The following is a 15,599-nucleotide window of genomic DNA, read 5'->3' on the forward strand; positions in this document are numbered from 1 at the left end:
GCCTCCCTGGTTCAAGTGATTCTCCTGCCTCAGCCTCCTGAGTAGCTGGGATTACAGATGCCTGCCACCACGTCCAGCTAATTTTTTGTGTTTTTAGTAGAGATGGGGTTTCACTATGTTGGCCAGGCTGGTCTCAAACTCCTGACCTCGTGATCCGCCGGCCTCGGCCTCCCAAAGTGCTGGGATTACAGACGTGAGCCACCGCGCCCGGCCCCCCGTTTCCTTATTCTGCACCTTACTGCCAGACAAATTTTCCAAGTAAGTTTGGTTCCAGGCCACCCTGCCTACTCCAAAGCTTTCTTTGACCTCCTGTGAGCCATGGCTTACAGCAGAGTTCTCATCCTGTGTTCCCGGGGTGGAGACTGCATGGAGACAGGGTTGGTTTGGCCTGCGTGTTATTAATAAAGAAGTTTCAGCCAACACTTGCTTTGGGAGGGTTTACTTACTGAAATTCACCTATTGAAATTCAGATTTTAAAAAGAGGTCTGGCCACTGTGGGCTCTTGTTTCCTTGTCCTGCGCTGGTGCCTTAAAGAACAAGATGGACTGGGCATGGGGAGAAAGATGCCCAGTCCATCTTGTTCTTGGGTTTACTCTTAAGGCAGAGTGATTCTTTGCTGTGGCAAAATCTTCACTTTTAGCTATGTAAATGGAAAGCAGGTATCTGGCTATTCTTAAGAATGGTGTGAAGCAACCTGAATGTTGATCTTTTAGTCTGAGAAATTAAATTCCCCGTTCATAACGGAAATTGGGTGTATGCTTTGTAGCAGCCTTTGGTTGCTTTTTTTAGGAGAAATATTTCTTAAGTCTCGCCTGGCTATTATTACCACTGTATCATCTTGTGACCTCATCTGATCTTGACCTTTCTCCAAGCTTGCCTTTCCCTGCTCTTCTGTGCAGAGGACTCCGGCTCCAATCCCTGGATGGCTTTAAGTCCAGCAAACCTTTCTGTTTTTCCTATCGCTCTTCTCTTTGCTTAACCTCTCCTCTTTCCTCCAGACCCACTTAAAAGCAGTTCATCAGGAAAACTTAGCTGACAGTCTCAGTCAGAACTCACTCGTGCAGGAACTTTGCAGGAAGCAGGTAATCAAATTTTGGGGTTTTAACTGCTCAAGTACCAATTCGGTGGTGAGTTAAGGTTGTCTTTGAAGGTTCCTTCCAGCCCAGTGATTTTGAGATCTGGCATCTACTTGTTATTTGAAATTGTACTTTGTGATAGGAACTTTACTTGCAGTATCTCAGTTAATTATGACGTAGCACTAGCATTACCTCCATTTTACAGATGAGGAAACTGAGAATTTTTTCCAACACTGACTCTCAAAATGGCTCTTTTCTGGATTTGTCTTATTTCTTCAAATAGATTATGGACTAGTTGAAGACCATGACTGCCTTTGTTGACAATGCTTGCTACCTGGTAGGAACTCAGTAAATATGTGATGAGATGATTGGTTCATTCAACCAATATGCATTAGGCCTATACCAGGCTCCATGGAGATGCAAAGATGCCCCAGCTAGAAAATGCAGTATTAGTTATACTCTAAGCTTGGCCTCCTACCTGGGCACGAAAGTAGTATGGAATGGTGGATCTTGGGCTCTGGAGTTAGATGGACCTCATTTGTCAAATAGGGGCAGTAATACTGTATACTTTTGTAGCAGTAGTTTTCAATTGCAGTGATTTTGACCTGTAGCAGTCATTTGGCAATGTCAAGAGACATTTTTTGTGTCACAACCTGGGGGTGGGGGTGCTGCTGGCATTTGGTGGGTACGTTCCAGGGATGTGGCTAACCATCCTACAATGCACAGGACAGCCCCCCACCAATGAAGAATTATCCTGCCTCTAAGTATCAGTAGTGCTGAGGTTGAGAAATGCTGCTTTAAAGAGTTGTGAAGATGAAACAAGATAATGACTGCAAAGAGTTTGGTGTAGTTAGCTGTTACTCCAAGAAAGCCATCCCAAAGACTGCAAAATCATACTTTGAAAGGCAAACACCAAAAGGCTTAATTTCATCAGCATCAGTGATTCTTGCCAGTGAGAAGCCTTATGCTAAGGATTTCATGCTGTCCTGTTTAGGAGTGGTGACAGACTCACTGGAGATTGTTTATGTTACACTGTGTACTACCATGAGCTGGCGTGGGTTTATCAGAGCTGTAAAAGCCATTATTAGTTTTTAGGATATTCCTGGTAAACTTCCTGCTTGCTTTACTAGTTTGTTCTGTGGAGATAATTTTGGTGTGCGGGTTTAAATCTTCTGATGGAAAATGTTTTGACTATCAAATTCCCAAAACCTGTTTTGATACGTGAGACATGAAACGTTTTGGTTTTCACATCAAGAAGCCCTATGTTTTTCTAGCCTTGGATTTTAAACAAAGCAGCTTTCCCCACTGTTTACTGCCTTACCTGCCTATCTGTGGGAGTAGAAGGGTGGAGAGCTAGCTGCTGGATTTCCATCTATTGTTTATTGTGGATTTATATTTGAAATTGTTACACTTTTTTTGTAATTATAAAGGTAATATATGTATCTTATAGAAAATTTGAGTAACATAGAAAAAATAGAGAAGACACAGTTAAAAAAAAGGCATCAGTAATACTTTCACATGAAGGTATAATTAGCTTTGGTGTGTTGGTGTGTTTTCTTCTTTTTCTATTCCTATATTTTTTCCATAGATGAAATATTCTGCGTATGTAATTTTGTGTCCCACTATTTTTAAAACTTCACATTGTTTTATTTTCATTTCCTTACACTACTAAAATGTCTGTAAATATTTCTAAGGACTGTAAAACATTCCATCTGTGGGTGTTTCATTATTTAATCCCATTGTAAAAATATAAAATATAGCCTATTTTCAATTTTTTTTTTTTTTTAGAGACAGGGTCTTCCTCTGTCACCCAGGCTGGAGTGATGTGATTATAGCTTACTGCAGCCTCAAAATGCTAGGCCCAAGTGATCCTCCTGCCTCAGCCTCCCATGTAGTAGGATTATAGGCATGTGCCACCATGTCTGGCTAATTTTTTTTTTTTTGTAGAGACTCTGTCTCAAAATATCAGTAGTACTGAGGTTGAGAAACGCTGCCTTGAAGGGTTGTAAAGATGAAACAAGATAATGAATGCAAAGAGTTTGGCGTAGTTAGCTGGTACCCCGAGAAAGCCATCCCAAAGACTGCAAAATCATCCTTTGAAAGGCAAACACCAAAAGTCTTAATTTCATCAGCATCAGTGATTCTTGCCAGTGACCCTGTCTCTACAAAAAAAAAAAAAAGTGATCTTCAGCCTCACAAAGTGTTGGGATTACAGGCATGGGCTATTGCACCCAGCCTATTTTCAATTTTGACGAGCATTTGTGCATTCAGTATTTTCTGTATTTCAGATCATTCCTGTCTATACAATAGATGATCACATGTGGAACAAAAGGATTGGATATGTGTGGATATTTTGATTAGTATTGTTGTCAGCTGCCCCAAAGCTTCTACTAATTTTTGCTCCTGTTAGCACAGTGATGTTCTCATATTAGTAGCATTTGATAATTTTCTAGGAGAAAATAAATTTTGTTTTTCTTTTTAATGTATTTGATATTATTGAGCTAAATCATGTTCATATGACTATTGGCTGTTTCTTAACAAACTGTTCATGTTCTCTGCCCATTTATTGGGAATTAGTATTTTTCTCATTTGTCATAAACTCTAGTTCGTGTATTTCACTTATGAATCCTCTATCATAGTTGCTGCAAATATTTTCACCTGCTGTTTCTAATTTTTAAATTCGGTTTGTCTTTTATTTTTGTTAGTGATATGGAGGTTTAAAATATTTATGCAGGCTAATCTATTGATTGTCTTTTGCACTTGCGGTTCTCCAACTTTCCTCTGTCTATACTAAAATGAACCCTTACTGCTCTGGAAGTCTCTATTCTGAATAATCAGTGTTTAAAATTATATCCCAAAGTAGGGTATCACAGGGTTTCCTGATGAGGATAAATGGGCCTGAAGTGCTTATGGGCACCCACTATGTATCATGGGAAAACTTGCACGTGTGTGTGTGTGTGAGAGAGAGAGAAAAAAAAAAATAGAGAAAGTTGGTGAGAAAAGGGGAGGCTGTTTTTGGGCCGAGGGTTGTTTGTTTGGCTTTTTCATTTCTTTTCCCTTGATAGAAGTGAGCTTACTGAAGGCAGCGGGGCTTCCATAGATTCCTGAAACATCTGAGTGACTGAAACCAGCGGCTTGCTGAGCGAGCTGTGACTACACCTGGCAAGGGGTGTGTTAGGCATGTGTTGAGTCTGTGAGAAGGCAGGCGGAGCAGAGACTCAGGCCACATCCCATCCAGTTCTCACCCCTTAAGTTTTGCTCTTTGAGGCTGCAGGCTGTTGCTCAGCCTCACCCAGGTTGAGTCCTGTGGGAGGACTCATAGGAGCCCACAGCCCTATTGCAGCTCACCAGCTGCACTAACTGTAGCTTGAAGACGAAGGTAACAACTAGCACTTACCTGGCACTTAGCTGTTTTGCAAAACCCTTTCACTAGGGCTTTTATAGATGCTTCTCACCTCAACCTTATGAGCTTAAATACTGTTTCCATCTCCATTAATTTGGAGGAAACCACCACTCAATAGATGCATCATTAAAATCCAGAGCTTCCGACTCCAGGGCTGACCTGCTCTACTTCAGAAAGAATTCCATCATTGTGTTTTCTGGTCGTAGTTTCTTGGTGGTACTATTAGGCAGAGGGTGGCACCAACTGTTTTAGGTTTTGGAGTCAGACATATCTTGACTGGAATCCCTACATAGCCCTATCTTGGCACTGTGACTTTGTTACTTACCCATCCTGAACCCTGGTTTTCTCATCTGTGAAATGGAAATAACAATGTGTACCTTGTAGGAATATGGTAGACCCTCTGGATCTGAGGGTTCCACATCTGGGGATTCAACCAATAGCAGATGGAAAATATTTGAAAAAACAAAATAACCATACAACAATAAAAATACAAATAAAAAATACAATGCAACAACTATTTACATAGCATTTACGTTGTATTAGGTCTTAAGTAATCCAGAGATGATTTAAAGTATATGAGAGAATGGGAAGATGTGTGTAGGTTATATGTGAATATGTAAGGAACTTTAGCATCTGCGGATTTGGGTATGTGTGTGGGTATCCTGGAAACCAATTCCCCATGGATACTGAGGGACAACTGTATTAAAAAGATTAAGTTGAGATTGGTGCAAAAGTAATTGCGGTTTTTGCCATTACTTGCAATGCCAAAACAGCAATTAATTTTGCGCCCACCTAGTATATGCAAGATGCCTAGTGCAGCACCACTGTGCTCATTCATTGTAGAAGCTCAGTAATGATTGTTTCTGAATCTCAAAGCTGAAAATGCTGCTGTTCTTTTTTTGTTTGTTTAAAAGTTTTAGAATTGCTGGTAGATCTGCACAGACGGGAAATTCTAGTGAATATCACTATATTTAGATGCTAGAAACACTTCTTTATCTGATCTATTTATTTTTCTGTTGAGTAGACTTTCTTTTCTGTTGTGGATAAGTCATCTGCATCTCTCAAATCCTTATGCTTAGAGAATTGCGTGATGACTCCTCAGCTTAGGATTGTGCTCGTAGGCAAAACATGTTTTGTCTACGTGTTCATGTAAAAAGCACAGACGGCTCTCTTGAAGGGCAATAACCCTTCTCTTACACATAGTTGAGATTTTTGGCATCATTCATGGAGTTGTTACTTGCCTAGGCTTCATAAACATTCAGGTACCAGAGCAACATTAAAAAAGAAGATTGTAGAAACTCATGAGAAAAGACAAATCTGTTACATAACCCAGGGGAGGCAAGTTGCTAAGTAAATTTTTATTTTTCATCCCATCTAAAAGTTAGGTTAGATTTGATGGGTCTTTACGCCAGACCTTGTTCAACCACATAAAAAAAACTCCCTGAAATTAAATCATTTTTGCCTGAAGAATTTCAACATGAGGTTGTCTTGCCATTGAATGTATAATGTGTGTTTATTTAGGCTTTTTCATTTTAATAAATTGAGCCAAGTAACTACTATAAATACTTTAATTTAGAATTATAATCCAATGCAGTCTTTTTTCTATGGAGTTAAAAATACCCTTTGGGAATCCTCTTTAAATGTGTCCTGGACCTTCTTATTTTTTTATCCCTGCTACCATGGTTGCATTTTCAATAAGAAATCAACTTAGTATTAGAATATGAAGTTATGCTAATGTAAGTGGGGCTTTATTGGGTTAAGGGTTAACATTCTTACATCTGTTCTGGGAACTTTAGATCCGTTGCCCTATGGTTTTTTCATTTTTTCCACCTTTTGGTAGGAAGGGAGAGACAATGAGGAGAAAGTCTTTTTTATATGATTTATACAAGTTTATAAATTAGAGTTTTAATATAATTCACGCCATGTATATGCTTCACCTAAAACATAGATACAGTTAAGGTCAGTGATTATGTGAAATTTACATGATTTCTAAGTTTCCTGTCATGTTTAGAGTTCAAGGATCAAATTGAGCATACCGTTGGCTAAATCTTATAACGTTTGCAAGCTGAGTGCAGGACGTTGTGAAATGCCTCACCCAATTGTAATAGTCAGTAGGAAATTCTTTTCCTAAAATTTCAAGCCTGTTGCTTGTCTTTTTTTCCCAGCCCCCCACCCCGCCCCTGCTTTTTTTTTTTTTTTTTTAAGACAAGGTCTCACTCTGTTGTCCAGGCTGGAGTGCAGTGTCGTGATCATAGCTCACTGCAGCCTCAACCTCCAGGCTCAAGCTATCCTCCCACCTAAGCCTCTCAAGTAGCTGGGATTACAGATGCACACCACCATGCCCAACTAATTTTTTGATTTTTTAATTAGACATAAGGTCTGGCTGTATTATCCAGGCTGGTCTCAAACTCCTGGGCTCAAGTGATCCTTCTGTCTCAGCCTCCCAAAGTGCTGAAATTATAGGCATGAGCCATCATGTCCCCCCTGATTTTTAAATTTGCAGCCAAAGTGGACATTTGGAGGCAGAGGTGTTTGTGGTGATAATGGTTAGGAGAGAATGGACAAACAAACTTGGTACTGACTTGACTATTAACTGACAGGATACAAAGGACTAAAAAATATGCCTAGTGATGGGCAAAGACTTCATGACTAAAACACCAAAAGCAATGGCAACAAAAGCCAAAATTGACAAATGGGATCTAATTAAACTAAAGATCTTCCGTACAGCAAAATAAACTGTCGTCGGAGTGAACAGGCAGCCTACAGAATGGGAGAAAAGTTTTGCAATCTATCCATCTGACAAAGGACTAATATCTAGAATCTACAAAGAACTTCAACAAATTTACAAGAAAAAAACAAACAACCCCATCAAAAAGTGCGCAAAGGATGTGAACAGACACTAATCAAAAGAAGACATTTATGTGGTCAACAAACATATGAAAAAAAGCTCATCATCACTGATCATTAGAGAAATGCAAATGAAAACCACAATGAGATACCATCTCACGCCCGTTAGAATGGCAATCATTAAATAGTCTGGAAACAACAGATGCTGGAGAGGATGTAGAGAAATAGGAACGCTGTTGGTGGGAGTGTAAATTAGTTCAACCATTGTGGAAGACAGTGTGGCGATTCCTCAAGGATCTAGAACTAGAAATACCATTTGACCCAGCAATCCCATTACTGGGTATATACCCAAAGGATTATAAGTAATTTTACTATAAAGATACATGCACACGTGTGTTTATTGCAGCACTATTCACAATAGCAAAGACTTGGAACCAACCCAAATGCCCATCAATGATAGACTAGATAAAGAAAATGTGGCACATACACAACATGGAATACTATGCAGCCATAAAAAAGAATGAGTTCATGTCCTTTCAGGGACATGGATGAAGCTGGAAACCATCATTCTCAGCAAACTAACACAGGAACAGAAAACCAAACACCACATGTTCTCACTCATAAGTGGAAGTTGAACAATGAGAACATATGGGCACAGGGAGGGGAACATCACACATTGGGGCCTGTTGGAGGGGTGGGGGGCAAAGGGAGGGATAGCATTAGGAGAAATACCTAATGTAGATGACGGGTTGATGGGTGCAGCAAATCACCATGGCACATGTATGCCTATGTAACAATCCTGCACGTTCTGCACGTGTATCCCAGAACTTAAGTATAATAAGAAAAAAAATAAGCCTAGTGATCCTGAGATAACAATCCAGTTGGGTAGCCTCATGCTGATCCCTTCAAATCACTTTGTCACCAGCCCTTTGAAACAGAGCCAGGATAGTACATATGAGAACCCAGCAAGTTTCACCAGGGATTTCTTGTTGCTGGCTGGTTGGCTCAGGGAGTAAATAGAGTAATTAGTGCTCATTAGCACTCCCACGAGCTATAATGCATCTACCTGAGGCAGAGAGATGCTTGCCTGTGTTCCTGAAGCATAGAAATCTCCATGTGATCTCTTCAGTCCAGACATTTTTGCACTGCAGAAACAAATGCCAACTTGGCAAGAGTAAAATCCTCCAAGTGCCTCAAATAACAGTAGGCAAAACCCGTGGACTAGGGACAGAAGGCTTTCCTAGGAACGGTTAGTGTGTCTAAGAAATTGGTGTGCTGTTTAAAGCTTTCTCTTCTCCCCCAACCGGCCGCCTCTCAGTGTATGCGACTGAGGTGAACCAGATTAGTCAGAGATGTTGGACACGGTAGTCGTATAACTTGATCCCCTCAGCCTCTTGTCAGCTGTACTTCAGAAGCTATAGTCTCCATTAATGGAGGGTCTGGATTGTAGAGTCATTGAGAAAGAAGAGAGAGCAACCTTTGACGGTGATCTGCGGCCCTGTCCAGGACCTTGTGCCATTGATAGTTCTTGTTCCTGTGAAATATTAATCTGTGGTATGAAGGTGGGAGTCACAAAGGGAGGAGGGAGCCAAGTTTTGGGGGCTTGGTACACATGCCTGGAGAAACATGTAGATAAGTTGCGAATTGGCAGATTGTTGTGGGAAAGAAGCCTCAACTAAGAATCTGGCACTCTGATCCCTACATTGATTAGCTGTGTGATATTGGGCAAGTCACTTAAGCAGTTATAAAATTGTTAGAACGATACCAGCCCAGCCCTCACTGGGAGGGCTTTAAGGATCAAATGAGATCACATGTAAAATGCTGTAAAAAATTAAATAATAGTGTGATTTTTGAGTTTTTATATGGAGTACATTAGCTACATTTTAGACATCCTCACCCAAACCTCTGGTAAAAGCACCTGCTTTTCCACTGACTTCCAGGCCTGTGACTCTAATTCCATCCCTGTACCCTAAACTAGACTGGAGCCTGTTTGGATGCCAGGTAGTTCCCTTGAAGTTTTTTGGAAGATAGTGCTGTCTCCTGGGCAAGACAATAGCAGGAGCTCCTGATTCCTGCATTGGCCTGTCTGCAATCCCCTTTCTTGGGAATGCAGTAAATTCTACAAAGTCATCATTCATCTATCAGTTACACAGGAATTGTTCCCTGTTCTTAAAAGTTTGGAACATTGGCTGGCTGCAGTGGTTCATGCCTGTAATCCCAGCATTTTGGGGAGACTGAGGTGGGTGGATCACTTGAGCCCAGGAGTTCGAGACCAGCCTGGGCAACATGGTGAAACCCCATCTCTACAAAAAATGCAAAAAACTGGCCAGGCATGGTTGTCCCAGCTACCAGGGAGGATGAGGTGGGAAGATCACTTGGGCTCAGGAGGTTGAGGCTACAGTGAGCCACGATTGCACCACTGTACTCCAGCCTGGGAGACAGAGTGAGACCCTGCCTCAAAAAACAAAAACAAATAACCAGTTTGGAATGTTATGAATAAAGTGTTCAGGACTCAGTTTCATACTTAGGTGGAACTGTTCTTGCCGGGTAGCTTTAGAATGAAGATTTGCTAGGATTTGAGGTTATAAAGTAAATATGTCTTTTGTGGGCAGCCATACTCTGATGGTTAAGGTTGGGAACCCCAGATGTGGCCTCCTTTGCTCTGGTGGCAGTTTTCAATGCCACATGATGTTGGGACAAGCAAATCACTACCTTTGCTAGGTCTCGCCGCCTTTACTTGTGAACTTGCTGTATTCCTGTGCATTAACTCCTGTCCCTGTTGACTGGGTTGGTGTTCAGAAAGTGATCTGAGCTGAATATCAAAAATGTGTAGTTTTTAAACTGAGTGGCTGTATGACGAGTATTTTTCAAAGACGGTTATCAGCCTTTGTAGGGCCTCTGAAGGAGCCTGTGACTTCCTCGTACAATTAGAAAAATAATGCTCTGCATTAGTTATCTTAGAAAACTGCTGCTGGTCTTAAATTAGGTTCCCTAGAAGCAGACTCTGAGACCAGGAGTGGGGTGCTGAAGGATTTTGGGGGTGAGCTCTCAGGAGACACCTGTAAGGAAGGAACAAGGCAAGATTGGGCAGAGGAGAAGCTGACTGGCAAATGTGGTTGCGTCTGAGACCCCAGCCACTTCTATGGGGAGCGCTGGATGGTTCTTCAGAGCTGTCCCCATTTGAGCAAGGGGCTGGACTTTTGTTTGCCTACATCAGCTAATTCCTGGCAACTGGCCACCCCTTCTGGGGGTATCACTTTGGGTGAGGCTGTGTCCTGCAGCTGGCTGAGGACCTTCCTTGTGAACCATCAGCAGCTGGGGATGGGTGTATTGGCCCTAAAAAGGACGTCTGGGTGGAGCAATATAGTGTCTACTATACTGTCCCAAAGAATCTAACCCTTTGAGAAAGAAACAAGTGGGTAGCGCCAAATGCCCGGCATATGGCAAGTCCCTTTATATGGAAAGTTAGAAAGTCTGGATCCCTTAGCAAAACTGAGGGAAGAGATTATAACTGCTTTGTGAACTATTAAATAAACAGATCTCCAGCCTCTTGGAAGTTTATGAGATCCTTGGATAATATGTACACCTGATTACGGTGTAACAGGGCTTAGCCTCTATATTTGTGAAATGACTGACCCATAATTGAATAATTTTCCCCAAGCATGAATTACTGCACGTTCAGAATATTCATCCTATGTGTATATAAATGCAGTTGAATGGGTCGCCGTAACAAAAGGCAAGCAAGTGAGTGAGGCACACAAACTCAGACTTAGAACCTTCCAGGGGGCCCTGGGGATGGAAGGCAAATATAGGAGGTTATAGCTTTGGTTCCTGAATCACCTTATGTGATATTTTAGTCATAGTCGAGGATAATGATTTAGGAGTTAAATTGCCAAAGGATAAGTCAATATGCTTTGGCGGGGGTAGGGAAGAATCAATTTTCTGGCATTTCCGAAAGCCAGTTGCACTGAACAAATGTCTAAAACTGGCATGGTTTGTTGTATAAGTGGGATGAGTAGACAAAGCCAAAGTTATACCTAATCTCTTTCCCAACTGCAGATTAAGTCATATCTGTAAAAGGCAACATGGTTTTTCTTCTGCATTTTCTGCCTTCTAGTAAGTGAAGGAGGCAATGGGTTGTGCTCCTCCATCATCTGAGTAGTTTGAGTGTATTTTGGGGACTGGAGGTGGGGAAGCCTGATGACTTCGTCGTGGCATAGAGCAAAGGTGATCGGGGGTGTGTGTTCAGACCATGGACTTCGCTTCCCAGTGAGCCCCCTGGACTCTGTGTATTCTTTGCCTTTATCTGCATTGCCACCTGGAAGCTCCGTAATGTCAAGTCCTGGAAGATATTACTAACCTGTTTCCATTATGGGTGTAGTAGAAATATAAGTAGGTCACTGTTCCTAATTCAGAAACTGAAGAGAGTCAAGCTGCCATGGTGACAGGTTCTGTATAAAAACACCCACCTCTGAACCTCTTGGAGAGATGTGATGATTTGGTCATTGGATGTGAAGGGGATAATCTGCCAGCTGGTTTATTGCATTGGCTAGAAATAGGAGATGCAGAAACTAAAAAGCTCTCAAGAAGTCATCAGATGAGAAGGAAATTAATGTAGCATAGTGATTCTGCTGTAGAGGAAAGGCTAAAGGTGAGACTCTTGAATATGTGCACCATTTCTTCTGCAGCTCTTGACTTGGATGATCCTTCTCAGTGTGATCCCACGAGTGTTTGGTGATGATCTGATAGTAGAAAGGGCAGAGCGATTTAACTTTGTGCACATCTTCCTCTGACTTCTCCATCTTTCTAACATGCCTGTACGTGTGCCTTTATCATTGGCATTCTGGAGTTAGGGACATGACCTTTTCTACAGTCCGGATGAGGAATCTCCAACTATGACTTTTCATTGTGACTCACGTCTGCAAAGAATGAATAAAGAAGAATTTGTTGGCCAGGAAGTGTGTACTATGCAGAGAGAAATAATTGTTGTTGGGAAAGAAACTTTTGAAGAACCAGAATTAAAAAAAAAAAAAAAAGAAGAATGAAGGAAGTCTATCAAGAAAAGGAAGAACCAGAAGTGATCTGCAGGGTGTTGCCTGGAGATATGGGAAATAAATCAAGAACAGAGAAATGGGAAAAGATAAAATAAAAAACATTGCCGGTTAGGACCAGCTGGGGTCCTAGGAAAGTGGCAGTTCCAGCGGGGCTTGGAAAGCTACTGAACCACTCACTTATGCACACACAACTGCCCCGCCCTCTCCCCTTCTTTGGCCCCCATTCACCTGGTGTAGGAGGGTCTGACACCCTCACCAGGGAGAGTGCTATTTGGCTGTTTTGAAGGCGAGACCTTGAAGCGTGGGAGAGCTTCGCCTCTTTCGTAAGCTGATGTTGCGTAACCTCCCGGAGAGTCAGGACCTAGTGGTTAAGGACACAGGCTTTGAAGCCAGGCAGATAGGGTGTGACTTAAATGCTGGACCTCAGAAAAATGGCTTATTGTGAAGGGTTTAATGGAGCATAATGAAGTAAGTGCTCAAAACTGTTGTTAATATATGCCAAGAGTTATAACTAAATTTGTAAAAAGCACCTTCTTATACTCTCAGGCAAACTTTGAACCCGAGCTCGGCTTCAACAGGGAGCTGGACTCTATCAGTGGCCCCATGGGGGAGCTGGGCAGTAATCCAAGGCTCCGGGTGGGGTGTTTGAAGCAGCTGCAGATCCTCGTGAAGGGCTCTGGGTGCCCATACATTGTCCCTATGGAGTTTCTGTACTTAAAGCCCCTGATTTTTTTTGTAAGCTGCTCCAGCTGGGATGTCTGCACACTCACACATGTTAACCTAGAATGGATTCAGGAACTATTTTAACATTTACATGGATAATGGGTTGCTTTGTTAAGTCATATGTAAATTTTTATTTAGCTCCTAACCATCTCCTGTACACAAGACACTGGACTCACAGGAGTGCAAAATGCAATGGTGTTAGGGGTTTGTATGGATATGTTATTCGTGCTTTATGACAACTCAGAGAGAGGTAGGTAATATTACCAGTTTTACAGAGATTAAATAACTTGCCCGAGATCAAACAGAGATTATACCTTACTACATGGACTCTGTGCCACCGCGAATTGTAAGACACATTCCAATATTGGAGATGTTAAATTAACCTTTAAAATTAACGAAATGTGGTAAGTCACAGAGCCTCGATTCTACCCCATACTTGGCTGATTTCAAAGTTTGTGGTTTTTTCCCTCATCACATGTAAGGGCTTGCAATCCTGTCTTAACTGGTGAACATAAAACAAACACAAATAAGAGGACAATTAACATTTGTAAGACTTGAAAGGGTGGCATTAATAATAATAATAATGGTTGGTGTTTATCACTCACTTACTCTGTGGCAGTGCTTTCATGTGCTTTGTTTGGGGGTGGGCACTAATTTTATATATATATATATTTTTTTTTTTTTAACAAACGTGAAAACTGAGATAGGTACTCTTATTCCCATCTTCTAAAGAGAAAACTGAAACAAAGATTAGTTATGTGACCTTGGGAGATCTTCTCCAAGATCACATAGCTTGTAGTAAAAGTCAATCTGCACCATGGTAGTTAAGAGTTCAAGTTTACTTATAACCACGACAGACCTGGTTTGAGTTCCAGAAGAGTGTGATCTGATAGACAGGTGCTCAGTGCTCCAGGAGCACCTAACCCAGCCTTGTGGGGGTCTGCAGGCACTCCCAAAGTGGACGGCACCTAAACTGAGAAGGCAGTGTCCATCTCTCTATCGCAGGCCACCGTGCTGCTAAAAATAATCATGGTTGCCCTATGTTACTGACCTCCACTAGTACTACGAAGGTCTAAACCTGGCATTAGCTAGTAGGAACTGGCTTTATTTATAGTTTACATCCTTTCCACTTCCCAAGAGCAACAGAGGAGGTTTAAAAGGAACATTGTAAATTAGACAGTTGCTGAGAACCAGAATGATGGCTACATAAAAGGTCTTGGAAATCCAAAAAAATAGAAAAAAAATTATTTGATGTTCCATTGTGTAATGTAAGTCTCTGGAGATGAACAGCTGGGTATTCTTCCTACAACTTTTAGGCTACGGCGTGTAGTCTCCGGTGCCAAGAGAGCTCACACACTGGCCAGCCAAAGTCTCTGTAACAACTCAATCACTTGGCTTTTCATGTTCGTCTTAATTCTTTTTACAGAATTAATGATTTTTATTTTGAGTTAACATATTGCTAAAGGATGTGAAGATTGTGTGTCAAGCTGGCATCTTGAAATAAAACAGTATGTTTACAAATGGATAGATATCCTGTCATTAAAAATAAATTTTGACAGACTGTGGTTCATAAGGAGACCCATATTAGAAGACACCGAAAGAGCCTTCAGAACATCAAATCATAATTGCTGAGTAGCAGACTGCGTTCCAGGTCCGTGTCTGCCCCTTCAAGAACATCTGACCCCTAGTTTCCTCATCTTTAAAACAAGGGGGATGGGTTAGATATTCCCAGATTTCTTGAGCTCTAAAATTTGTTTGACTCAAACATTTCTAATGAATTCTCACACAGCGTTTGTTCTGACTAATTCATCAGGGTGCCTGCCTAACAGTAAATGTTGAATTTGTTTATCTCCGAGTTCTGTTGTCAATGAATTGAAATGGGTGTTATATTTTAAATTCTGATTGTCCACTGATTGCATGTCAAAGAGAATGTATTGCGGGCATTTCTCCTGCATGTCTTTGGAATAGAGAAATTTATTGTTAATGAAGAGAATTGAACCGCTATCAGGTTAGGGGTCAAGAAACCTTTTGGCTGCAGTAATCCCAGACAGTCGACTCCAGAGCCACCGGCCAGCCAAGTTGTCTTGAACTGCAGTCAGGAACGCTGACACTGGATCAAAAGGCAACTGTTTTGGTTAGTTTGAGAGAGGTTCTGCTGCAATGGAACTTTGAGGGTGGGACTAAGGAGAAGGCAGGGCTGAGGATGGGAGAGAAAAATTGTACTCACTGTTATGTACCAGAGGTGGAATTCTAGTTGTGATTCCAAATCGATGTTTCTCAGGGAGAAAAAGCTCTTCTCTTTTTCTCTGGTTCAAGACCATCTGACAACTCGGAACATAACTCATTTGATAACTCTGAACTTAAGTTAAAGAAAACATTATTCAATGATACTTGTTAAAGCATGGAACAAAGGATCATTGCTACAGGGCTTTGCAGTGGGGGAGAGAGATTGCGTTCGATTCTGAATATTGCATGGACAAGTGGGCATTTATAGCC

At 41.4% G+C, this 15,599-nt stretch overlaps 1 protein-coding gene across 48 annotated transcripts in view, besides 1 other annotated feature; it reads left to right on the forward strand.

Moving 5' to 3' along the window:
* The window catches only part of PPFIBP1 (PPFIB scaffold protein 1), a 171,359-nt gene that overhangs the window by 13,012 nt on the left and 142,748 nt on the right, over window positions 1-15,599 (forward strand). The gene's annotated exons all lie outside the window — the stretch shown is intronic.
* Window positions 11,592-12,791: an enhancer, noted in NCBI's record as "CDK7 strongly-dependent group 2 enhancer chr12:27701742-27702941 (GRCh37/hg19 assembly coordinates)". NCBI's record gives its function as "activates an origin of replication core promoter dependent on BRD2, BRD4, P300/CBP, MED14 and CDK7 cofactors, with strong dependence on CDK7, by STARR-seq in HCT116 cells {active_cell/tissue: HCT116}" and the evidence as "EXISTENCE:reporter gene assay evidence [ECO:0000049][PMID:35650434]".

The sequence above is a fragment of the Homo sapiens genome, chromosome 12, assembly GCF_000001405.40.
Source record: "Homo sapiens chromosome 12, GRCh38.p14 Primary Assembly".
Lineage (NCBI taxonomy): Eukaryota > Metazoa > Chordata > Mammalia > Primates > Hominidae > Homo > Homo sapiens.